Below are 12,511 nucleotides of genomic sequence, written 5' to 3' on the forward strand. Positions count from 1 at the left end.
CAGTACCAGAACAGATTCTCACACAATATAGAGTGTCAATAATCATACCTTGAAGAAATAACTAAGCAAACAAATGATTAATGAAATGACTGATTGAACAACAAAATTATGTATTGGGCATGTGTTCAAGATTGTTTGTAACAGGGAAGGAGAGAATTGCAAGCAGGTGGTCTTTACTTACATTCTATTTCAGCTGTTTTGTTGTAAAAATGAAGACAAATTTGGGAGAATAATTTTAATACTAAACTTTGACTAGGAACTATTGTCTTTCTTACTCAAAACCAACTTAAGAAGCAACACTCTCAACCACACCCAGGTCTGACAACTCAAAGCACTGCTCTGTAAAATTGTAAATTTTCAAAAGCAAACACACAAATGACAGTAAAAGCAATATCATAGTTTCCAATGTGTCCTGAGGTACATGAAAAGAGCTTAGTGCTAACCAGGTCAGCATTTTTGGAATGAGAACCAAGGATTACTGTATGACAAAATGGAGAATCTAGAAAGCAAAAACTTGGATCAATAATAAACAAAATCTTGATTCTTGACATCAATGGCAAGTTGCTTTGGTGGATTTTTTAAAAAAGCACTCAATATATTAGTATATATCTACATTTTGTTGAATAAACCCATTTGAATTTAACCAAAAGTAGTGTACTTTAACAGTGCGTAGATTATAACAATTTCATAAAAATTTTATATTGAGTATACTTAACAGATTCATTTCTATTCATACTGAAAAGTAATTATACATTCTTTGCTTAAACTACACTACCTGATATAAATATAAAATAAATGCTCATTTTAGTATATATGTCAAATTTGTATGAAGTAGTCATAGATGAAGGGATAGCAAGTACTTTCATGTTCTTTAAATCACATGACATACTTACATTTAGTTGAATTACATAAGTAATTCAATTTAGGAATACTTGGCATTTGAATATTTGTTTTGAAAACTGCTGTAGGAAATATTTTAAGTCCAAAATATTTTCAAGATAGTTTTTGAATTACTATTTATATCTAGCAATTGCTAAGAAACTTTATACTGTTGATTACTGCACTCTATTCAAAAGTGAAGGTAGTGATCAGATTTTCAGTGTCTTAACAGGGAAGAAACTCACAGTCCAATTGTCTCAGCAACACAAATCCGAAGTCTAACAGTCAATATTTGATCATAAGGAATGGAAGAAATGAAATAACTGTTTACGGCAAAAGGAAATTTAGAGAAGAAAGGCCTTAAAGACAGGGAATGGTAAAATCTAAGACCTCAAGAGAGCCCGTGTAAGGAAGAGAGGATGGAGAAATACTGCTTAGGAAAGTTCTGTACAAAGAAAATCTTCATGACCTTTATTTCAAAGCCAGTAATTGAACTTTGGTGCTTCCTCCCCTCTTACATCGATAAATTTCCACAAGCAACTCACTCCCCAAATAACTTTTAAAAAATTATACAATCTAAATGTAAACTTCTTCATTGAGTCCATCATGGCATCCTTGGTTGATGTTGCTTTCAAATTATGGAGACAACTCAGATTTACCTTTCATTTCCCAAATTTACTGAGAGTGTACAATATATTTTAAACTTTAAATTCATGAAGCTCCTTCAGGGTGGGTTTTCTAATCTCTCACGTAGTGATATCCTTTTGTCTCTGCATCTGTCCATTTCTGTACAGTCACAGTGGTGTGTTCCAACCATGACTTAAAATCATTTTCTCCTTCTCTTTACGTAGCAGTGCCTGTACACTTCGGCAGATTCTGAGAATTAGTTTGAATGAGTGGTTCCAAAGTATGTTTAATGTCAATCTATAGTTGCTGTAAAGCAGCCAAGGACTCTGATGTGGCTGGCACTCAGTGGCAGGTCTTTAAGTAGTCCCAGAGTAACTGTCCCCACCTCTCTTCTTTCAGTAAGGCTTCAATGCTATAAGCAACTTAGAGTCAAGAGAAACTAGAAAATATCTGTTCAGAAAGGTATTTTAGACATTCTCACTTAATTAAACATAGATAATGTGATCTGTTTCTCTAAATCCATTCTCCCCTCAAAATGAAATTACATACTAAATACGCTCTACATGCTAGTTCAAGAGCTTTCTGGTGGTAGTCAGGAACTAACATATCTCTTTGTGTGTCCACTTTGCCCCTTTACAACGTAAGCTTAGTATTACCAGCAATTGTGATGAAAATAATCTCTTGTTCAGCCCAAGATGATGTAATGAATCTGTCATTAAGGTGCTGTTGAGGACAAAGATCAGGAATTGAAAGCATCTAACAGAGCCCAGGATGAGAAAGAAGTTTATGGATCTCTGCCTGTTAAATTCATAATTCTTCCAAGCATGCACATATGTATAAATGCACTTGACATATATATTCACAAAGAATATTTCTGTCCCACAAATTATAAAAGTCTTTGAGAGATAGAGACATGTGTATAAATAAGTGTTCTATAAATGTAGCTCAATGACTTACATAAACAATTAGCTATAATTTAAAAAATGAGCTATTTAGATGCTTTGCTTTAGTAGTGAATGTATTTAGATATAGAGATTATTTAGCAATAGACATCAGTTAAGTGAGCCACAGGCAATTTGACTTCAAGTAAATTTACTAATTTAGCTGATTAAAGATTTGTTAGGCCTTTCTTTTCAAAGAAGCTTCAAAGCCTTTAAAAATGAGTGCTCATCATTCTGGTAAAATAGGAAACCCACATGTTTTATTACTACCAATTAAAAGATACTGGAAAGGAGAAATTAAGAGAGTATAGAGCAAGGCTAAAAATAAGTATTTCTTTTCTTTCTTTTTTTCAGACAGGATCTCACTCTGCCACCCATGCTTCAGTGCAGTGGAATGATCTCAGCTTACTACAACCTCCCCTCCTGGCCTCCCAGGTTCAAGTGATTCTCGTGCCTCAGCCTCCCAAGTAGCTGGGACTGTGAGTGTGTGCCACCACACCTGGCTAATTTTTGCATTTTTAGTAGAAACAGGGTCTTGCCATGTTGGCCAGGCTGGCCTTGAACTCCCGAGCTCTAGCAATCCAGCTGCCTCAGCCTCCCAAAATGCTGGGACTACAGGCATGAGCCACCCAACATGGCCAAAAATAATTGTGTCATTGGGAAGTTTTGATTGCCTAAAGAAAAATATAAAAACATTTGCATGGATTGTTTCCCTTAGATTTTTAAGACAAAAATGATTAAAGCACTACATTATAATATCTGGCAGAGGTTCATTTGATCACCATATTTTTAGAAATTTAATGCAAAAGAGAAATGCAAAACATTTACTCTCTAGATCAGTATTTATACTTCTTGTGATGACTTAAATAACTCTGGCAGCTTTCTGAGTAGTTGGCAGTTTCTACAAAATATGCCAAGTAAGGAGCACAACATTAGTATACTATATCATGTCATTTTCTTCTAAAACACAAATATTGAACTTTTACCACCTGCTACTGTACAGCAGTGCTATGGCAACATCTTCGTAGAGTTCCTAAGCTCCTTTGAAAAGTAGGATCTAATCAGCACAAAAGGAAATAAACTATCATCATTGCTGTTGCTATAATTACCTAGTTGGCAAAATAAGCTCTATCTATACAGAATCACACATTAAAACAAATTTGCTTAGGAAAACTAAATGTTTTATTTCAGCCCAGCTTACATTTTCAAATGAATTGGTTAACAATTAGAAAAGAAATTGTTGATAAACCTTGCATTATGTTTATTGAATTTTTATTTCTGGTTAAAAAGGTTAACTGTTTTCACTGTGGAATATTTAGAAAATATAGATTTCTTTCTTTAAAAATAGTTAGCCATAAGGAAGCCATAATTCATCACTGTAACAGAGAATCTTTTTTCATATATCTTTTACTTTATAGTATTTTAATATTTTTTCTCTACTGTAGACACATTTGGGATTTATTTCCAACTTACATAAATGCATCATAATAACTGTAACTCCATATGATTTTATTATGAATAAGGATAGATTTTAAAAACATAATCAAAATGTTCACATTTTTGTAATTACTTAATGTGGCAAATATTTTATTAATACTTAAATTTGTTTAATCAGAGGCCAGCAGTACTGTAGATATTTCTGAGTGATTTCACAGAATGTGTGGGAATATACATCTGCGTCAATTCTTTAAATGAGTAAAAGGAGCATCTGTAATGCAGCAAAATCAATCATGAAGAAGTAACTGATGCAGGAATTGCCTATACAGGTTTCCAAAGTACATGTACGCGTGTAGATTGAGTTACAAGAAAAAGGTCACTTTCTAATAAGGCAACTGACAATTATTTTGTAAAAAATATGAAAGTGCAAGCACATACTTTAGAACAAATATTAGGTACAAGCTTAATGGAAGAGTCTATCATGTAATTAGCAGACAAAATGAGCCACAGACCACATTTACATACTTAGTTTAAAATAGAAACAGAGTCCCAAGAGATAACCATTTTACTGCTGCCCAGTTGAGGAGAAAACACTTTCAATATTTCTACATTAACGTTCAGAGAGTCAAGGTGGCCGATGCAGAACAAAAACACTAATGATAAGGAAAAAAAGTTTTTCCAAAGAAGAACTTGGTATGAATTAGATATTAATTGTTAATTACTTCAGAAGGCCCAAGTGAAAATTCAGACTTCTTTCTCTGCTCTTGGCCTTATTTCATGTTCCCGCTTTCTAAGCACATTAGGTTTTCCTATTAATCAGTCACAATCACCATGTCTAATCGGCTGTGGATCTAGATCCTTACCAGATCCCAGCCAATAGAAGTTAGCAATGTAAGGCTTATTTTGTGGACCACTTCTTTGGAGGAATACGTTGTGTTTCTGTTAGATGACTATACACATGATAGTCAACTTCCAGCCCATATCTGGATGCATTCTTGAGATGACTCTGAATCAAATAATTTCTTTTAAACCAAAACTAAATATTTATATTAATTGAATGAGACTTTTATAAATTATTCCAAGTAAAGCATGAATTTCCAGAGACTGGCATAATTTAAACCCATACTGGAGGGGAATTATCCATGGATTTGGGTTGAAACTTTCATTTTAGTACCTCTACTCATAGTAGATTGAGAATTAAAATCTGAAGAAAACCCTCTTAGATAAGACATTTGTAAAATAAAAAACTCACTTACCATTCCGACTTTCTTCATCAATAGCAACTATGGTAGCTGGTGGTCCTCCCCTAGCTAGTTTGCAATCTAAAGAGAGAAAATAACCAAAAGTAATAATTGACTGCAGGGGCACACACAATGAGAAAAAAATTCATTGAGATGTATATTAATATTTAAAAAGGAAAATCTTGCAATCTAATTAATATGCATCACTACAATTAATATTATTTAAAAACATTTTATAATAACCACATAGATTCCTTACCACATCATAATACAGTCACTTTGTGCATCACAAAACTACTCAAATCTTACTGAGAAAACACCAGCAGGGACCACTGGAGAGCAGAAGTCCTTCAGGACAGAGATAATGGGATGGAAATTTAACCCAAAGAAATAACAGAAAGGGATGATTAACAAGGATAAATTGTAATTAAAGCATCACAACAGAAACAAACATAATTGGACTTTAATTGTGATAAAGGGTCTAATTAGAGAGAGTGAATAGAATTTTAATAATGTTCTAAAGAGAATAAAACAAAGACAGACAAGCAATGCTCATGAGGTTGTTTGGGGTTTTTATTTTTGTCATCTTACCCTCATATTGCCAGTCTGGAGTCAAAAGTATAGAGTCATCAATGGAAGCAGATCAGAAAAATGGAAGAAAGAAAGGAAGAGAGAATATATGTATATATTTAGTGAGAGATTTAAGGATATAAAAAGCATTATACAATAACATTATCTAATGATTTGTGGAAATAGAATATATAAAATCCCTATCAGATTTCCTACTTCTAATATAATGTTAACACATTCACTGGATAATACACATCATTAGCATTTTAAAAGCCGTTACAAAAAAGACTAGAAAATAACATAAAGTAAATTGGTATTTTTCTTACGAAAAGGTAAATACGAATTACTTATGAACAGTCTGTTATCTGTATGCTGAAAAAACTTTAAGAATAGTGCCTGTCAATCAGTAGTGATGATTAATTCATTATTTCAAACACTGCTAATATCCTTCCAGGTATCACATGATAATGAACATAAAAAATAGTATGAGCTATAATATCCATGACAGTTGAAATGTGAAAACTTTGCCTGCAGGATGTCAAATGTGCACCTCTGAGACATAAAGTACTCTACTAGGAAATACTTTGTGAGGCAGAGAGGGCTATGTCATGCAGTTATACATACATGGCACACTCCTGTACAGCAGTGCAAATTAATTTTGCTTGAAGTTTTCCAAATTTGTGTGTTATTTGGGAAATAATTTCAAGGTTTATTTACTTATTAAAATTCTGCCATTTATTATGTACATATACATGAATAATTAGGCCTTCAGGAAGCACTATTCTGTATTGTAAGGTATGTACGCTCTCATATGAAGCAAAGAAGCTGGGAGATCTACACATTTTCTCTCTTTACACTTGTCAATATTGAAGGAGTTCCAAGTCATAACATTTTCAGATCTAAAATATCTCACACTCATTACGCCTCTTCCTCTCCTTATGCCCTCCTACAGAGCCCAGCACTACACTATTTGTCATCTCTGCTCTTGATTTAGTTTCCTCGCTGATCTCCCAGAAGTCTTGTTCTCATCCTGCATTCATCTATTCCTTTCATGAGAATGATTTTCATGTACCCAAATCAAAAGTGAAATAATAGCATTCCTCTGAACAAAAACCTTACATGTTTCTTTTGGAGAAAATGAAAAAAAAATCAGAAGAACAAAGTTTCTTCACATGGCCTTAACATCCTTTATTGAGAATTAAGCAACCTGTCCTTCAATTACATGAATCCTCTTACTGTTGCTGGAATGTAGCCTGTATTTTTAGCAAAATTTTGTTATCTAAATTCATTGTTGCCTTTTTTTGCCTAGCAAATCTCTGCTTCTTTTTGTAGAATTAGATATTTCACATATTTGCACCTAGTGCGAATTAATTTTGATTAAAGCCTTCCAAATTTTCATGTTACTTGAAAAATGATTTCAACATTTCTTTATTTATTTACTGTTTTATAAAATTCCTCCAATTATTATGTACATAGAAATGAATAATTAGGCTTTGGAAAGCACTGTATTGTAAGGTATGCACTCTCTCATATGTACACACACACACATATACACACACTCATGTCACTGTGTGCCAATGCCATAATACCTACTGAAAATAGATAAAAATTATGTATTTTAGTGTGAATGTTGGTAGAGGAATAAATATTTAATCAACAACTTTATGGGCAAGCAGAATATAGAATAATAAAAGAAGGGGAAATTTGGATATAAATATTTTTGAACCTTTTTACAGTTTGTTACTATTAAGTTTAAAAGTAGGCTTTATGAAGCTAAGCCAAATAATATCTTCATATTCCAGCCCTTCCTCACTCTCCGCCTTTCCCATTCTCAAAGTTAATTCTCCATTCATACCAAACCAAATTTATGTTTTTTGCATCAACTGTTAAAATATACTTTCCACTCTTCTTCCCCTGGTTAATTTTATTCCTTTTTCAGGAATCTGCCTACGCATCACCTCTTCTTGAAAATCCTTCTCGTTGTCATTCTAGATTAAGTCCTTATTCTCTGTATTCCTGCAGTACACACTGTATCCCATTGGACTAATTGCCCCATTGGCACAATACTAATGTGTCTTTCTCTCTCACAAGAGCTTCTTCAGACCATGCCTGCATCATTTTCACCTTGGTAACCTCAGAACATGATACTGGTCCTGAAAGAATGTTTGTTGACTTTTTCCACAATGTAGTCTGCTAAGCTACAATCTTCCATTAAAACCTCTCCATGAGAGCAGCTCAGAAGTCTCTGTTCTCACTAACCCCTCAATAGCAGAAACAGCCCAGAAGAAGCTGCTTAACTACATTTTCTCCTGCTACAGTACCCTTAGATAATTCCCACTACGATTTATTATTTTAGTAGATTCAAAATTCTCCCCAATAAAACATTCTTTATATACTACATATACTTCTGGATAAATACAAAAATAATTTAAACTTTTTTAAGACTCAAAACACAAAATGAAAAGAGGTTAAGCAGACACATAATAAATAATCTATTAATAACATTGTTCATAACAAAGTGTTTGTTTTTAAACGATGCATTCACGACAGCATAATTAATTAGTTTTGAAGTGCACAAAAGCATTTTTAATAAGAACAATTATATTTAGAATTGTCTTGGAAAGAAAGTAATTTGGATGTAATAGCCAACTATATATTATGTATGAAAATATCCAAATGTAAATCAAAGGGAAGACTAGAAAGCAATTTGGGGGATGGGGAGATTGTACCCTATGGTCTGTGGATCATCTGTCTGCCACAGGAAAGTCAGGTGAGCTGCTGATACCTGTACCCTGGAAATGGACTTCCTTAATCTATTTAATTTCACCCTTGACTGTCCTGGTTAAATCACAAATTCATTGTTTTTCATGCCTAAAGTTTCTAGCCTGTTAGGCCTATACTCATTTTCCATATCCAATTTGTGGTAAAGTACAGGATATGAATACCAATAACTGAATGCTCAGTGTGGCTTATTTCTGCAAACTTGTCACAATGCTAAAAATAAGCCATATATTTAAAAATATTCATATGCAATAGATGGGATTTAAAATCCAAAGAGGAGAATTAAAAAGACAAATAATGACTGATCTCACAGATACTAAGCCTGTGATACTCTGTTGTCATTGTAGCCTGAATTTTAAGAGCATGTTACAGACAGGTCAGACAAAGGCTTTTGAAAATCTAGGATTTTCCGAATATGCTCATTTCGTAGAAATGAGAGCAAGCACCCAGGAATTCAAATTCTATTCCCACTTTAGCCTATTCTCAAAATGTTCTTTTAACGTTGATCAATGTGTTTTCAATAAGACTTCAAAACTATTTACTTTAAAAAATATATTAACATAGTAATTGCCCTTATATGTTAATAACTTGTGTATTGAATTTCCTACCCATATTTATCTTCTGAGCCTGGGTCCCATTTGCCCAGACAACTTCTGTACTTGCAATTTCAAAGTTGTCTTAAATGTAGCCCTCCAAATCGCATCCCAGTTGCTATCATAGCCGAAAACTGGATATTTTCAATATATATTATTTCAGTGAATGGCATAATTCTGCACCAAGCCACATAAGTCAGAAACCAGGAAGTCACATTTCATTTTACCCATGTTTCTAGCTTTCCAAAATGTACCGATCGATAAGTCTTGAATTTAATTCCTAAAGAAAAACTTGTCATATCCACTCACTGCTTTCAATCTGCAGTGGTACCAGGCTAATCTTGTCTCTTACCTAATCAAATAGGTTTTCCTAACTGCTTTCCTTACAATCAATCTTGCCCTTACTCTGAGTTAATTTTCTGTCTTTAAGCAGAGTGATCTTTATAATTAAAACCTTGCTTATTTTTAAAAGAATTTACCATTTATTTTAGGTTATAAGCTAAAATATTTTGGCCATCTACAACTCATCACAAATATGATTCTAGAATGTAAACTAACATATTTTATATAACCTACAAAGTCCTCCACAATATGCCTTCTCCTTCCCTCTCCAGTCTCATCTATTTCCATGTCCCTCTTTTCCCAAAGCAAAATAGTTTTTGATCCCTTGACTAGGTAAGGTTTCCCAATATATACTCTCATAACTCTGCCTCATAATATCAATTTATGATTACTTGATTCTTCACAGAAAGAAAACTCAGTGATAACATTGACCTTGTTTCTATTCCTCACGGTTGTGTCCACAGGGCAGATTTTCCTGGCACATTTTTGATTCCAAGCAATTATTTACTGAATGCAAAAACAAAGGGCCTCAATCAAATTTGTAACAATAAAATTAAAACAACACTCTGTACATTAATTCCCTTTTTTCTTTTTAATTTTTCAAATGTCTTTCTCAAGTGCAAGTACAGCAGGTCCTTGAATGACATTGTTTCATTCAATGTCATTTCATTATAACAATGAAAAAAAAAAACAACTAATTCCAGGCCTGAGCCACTATCTGTGTGGATTTTGCAAGTTCTCCCCAAATCTGTGAGGACTTTCCCTGAGTACTCCAGTCTCCTCCCACATCTCAAAGATGTACATGCTAGGTTCATTGGCATGGCTACATGGTACCAGTGTGAGTGAGTGTGGGTGTGTGTGTGAGTTGCCCTGAGAAGGAATGGTATCCTGTCCAAGGTGGGTTCCTGCCTTATGCCCTGAGGTACTGGGCTAGCAGGCTCCCTGATGGGAGGCCCTGAACTGGTAAATAATTATCTCACTTTTTTTGATTAATCTTTCTTAAATGCATGTATAGCTCACATTTACTTCAATATTTAATATAAGAAATTTTTGGTCTTTATTTAGAAGTGTGGTGATGTTTTTGTAACCATAACTATGTCATAGGAACTTGTTTATATTTTGTTTAGCCTAAAATAAAATTGGTTTCATTTTATGTCATTTCATTGAAAGTCTCAATTTCCAAGAACCTACGGACAATATTAACTGAAGACTTACTGTAATGAGGAAAAAATTGACAGATAATTTGTTGTCTAAAGATAAGGTCATTGGTGACAACTCAGCAGATGTGAAAGGCTACCAATAAAGTAAGAAAGGTGTAGATAATTCTGCAAGAATTTGAGGTTATTTGGAACAAGTTATGAAAGATTAGAGAGAGCTCACAATAATAGACAAAGTAAAGTGATGAAAAAAAAGGAGAAAATGTTCACTTGCTTCCAAATGTCTATAATTTCTATTAGAATTCCAAGATGTTTTATGATTTTACCAAACTGTATCTTAAAGGAATAAAACTAAGAAATTTCAAATACTAAAGTTTAAATTATATCAAAGATCAACTTACCTTTTTTTTGTCATCTTAGAATTTTTAAGCTATTTCCTTACAAGCTGCCTAAATCACCAGTGAACTCTGTGGCACCTAGTAGAGTATTTGACTTAACATAATCATTTAATTTATTTGCTGAATTAGGAAATATCTTCCTCTATGGAAAATTAACAAAATGAATAATCCATCAAATCCTTAGCTTTAACCATTTCAAATCTTTGGGGGAGTGTTTTAAGATGTTAAAGAAATGGGTTTCTAATATATTATAGTGGTTGTGAACATGTGCTTTGGAGTCACAAAACCTAACTTCAAATCCTAACTTTGGTTTTTAATAGTTGTATAATATTGGACAAATTATTTAACCTCTTGTATTTCATTAATGGGGATAAGAGTAATTACAACTAACTCATATATTTTTACAACAAGGACAAAATGAGGAAATCTATGGTAATTTCTTAGAAGAGTGTCTGGCAAAATGTATAGACAGACTAGGCCTACATTTGCTTTTATTAGTATCCTTATTTTCATTAGGAATATATTCGAATAAAATGTTTTTTCTATTTTTTTCCTTTCATGCAAGGGCTGATAGTAAATATAGTAAATAAACCCTCAGCTCTCCCAAATATTCAGTGAGGGCAGATCTTAGTTATATATGGGATTGTGAAATATATTGTTATTAAGAATAAAAGTAATTACATGAAATGTCACTGGTGGTCTGTAGGGACAAAAATTTGCTTGAATTCCTATCCCAGATACCAAGCTAGATATACTCTGATGGATTAAATTTACTAGGGAAAAATAGACTCCTTGAACTTGAAGCTTAAAAAAAGTAATGGGGTTCTCACAGTCCTCTACTGGTCCCAGTATGCCCCTGATATGAGTTGGTGAGATTCCACAGAAAGATCAAGGAAGAGTTGCAGATTTTGTGAAACCTCTATTCCTGCCAACATTTCTCTATTATCTGTTTCGTTATTCAGAGTAATCTAGTCTCTTGCTCATGTGTTTGTATTTACACAGACACACACACACACTGAATCTATTGCTAAGTTCAAAGCAATTTGGCACCTCATTCAAAGAAGGTACTGTGTTCTCTTTAAATTTCATGCTACACAAGCATTCTGTTTTCAATTTGCATGTCACAAGCAGCAGGAGAGGGACTTTTCTCATTTTTCCTGTTGATCTTTGGTATATTCATTTTCAGGAAAATACACACAGGAGTGAAATCTTAAGACAGATACTACTTATTTTACATTTTGACTGCTTCATCCAAAAGAAAAAGTTTGATCTTGAATTTATAAAATCAATGGAACAATAATCTAACTTGTATGATCTAAAGTTACAGTCAACAAACTAATGGAAAAAGACAATGATAGAACAAAAGCAAAATAAACTGAGTAAATTTAAGGACAGAGCAAGTAATTCAGTTCCAATTCAAGAACAGGATATGCTACTTGTGTTACTCTCTTGGCATTACTATTTGCAGATTTCAGATTTCACCATGAAGGGAGCAAATGATATTTTATGTACCTTAGTGTCATTATTAATTGAATTATATAATTT

General features: G+C 33.3%; 1 protein-coding gene and 1 long non-coding RNA gene across 21 annotated transcripts in view; one reads left to right on the forward strand and one right to left on the reverse strand.

Annotated features, from left to right (window-relative positions):
• Positions 1-12,511, reverse strand: part of PCDH15 (protocadherin related 15) — a 1,825,172-nt gene that overhangs the window by 719,901 nt on the left and 1,092,760 nt on the right. For 13 of the 20 annotated variants that reach the window (XM_047425663.1, NM_001354420.2, NM_001354429.2 and 10 more), the window contains exon 3: positions 5,141-5,206. The exons of 3 other annotated variants lie outside the window; for them this stretch is intronic. In XM_047425663.1, the coding sequence (XP_047281619.1) occupies positions 5,141-5,206 (66 nt within the window). Of the gene's footprint in view, positions 1-5,140; positions 5,207-5,716; positions 5,732-12,511 lie in introns of all 20 variants that reach the window. 4 more of the 20 variants (NM_001142771.2, NM_001142769.3, XM_047425664.1 and 1 more) reach the window with 1 other exon arrangement.
• LOC105378311 (uncharacterized) overlaps positions 1-12,511 on the forward strand; it is a 169,822-nt gene that overhangs the window by 36,442 nt on the left and 120,869 nt on the right. The window lies entirely within an intron of this gene.

This window comes from Homo sapiens, chromosome 10 (genome assembly GCF_000001405.40).
Source record: "Homo sapiens chromosome 10, GRCh38.p14 Primary Assembly".
NCBI classification, from domain to species: domain Eukaryota; kingdom Metazoa; phylum Chordata; class Mammalia; order Primates; family Hominidae; genus Homo; species Homo sapiens.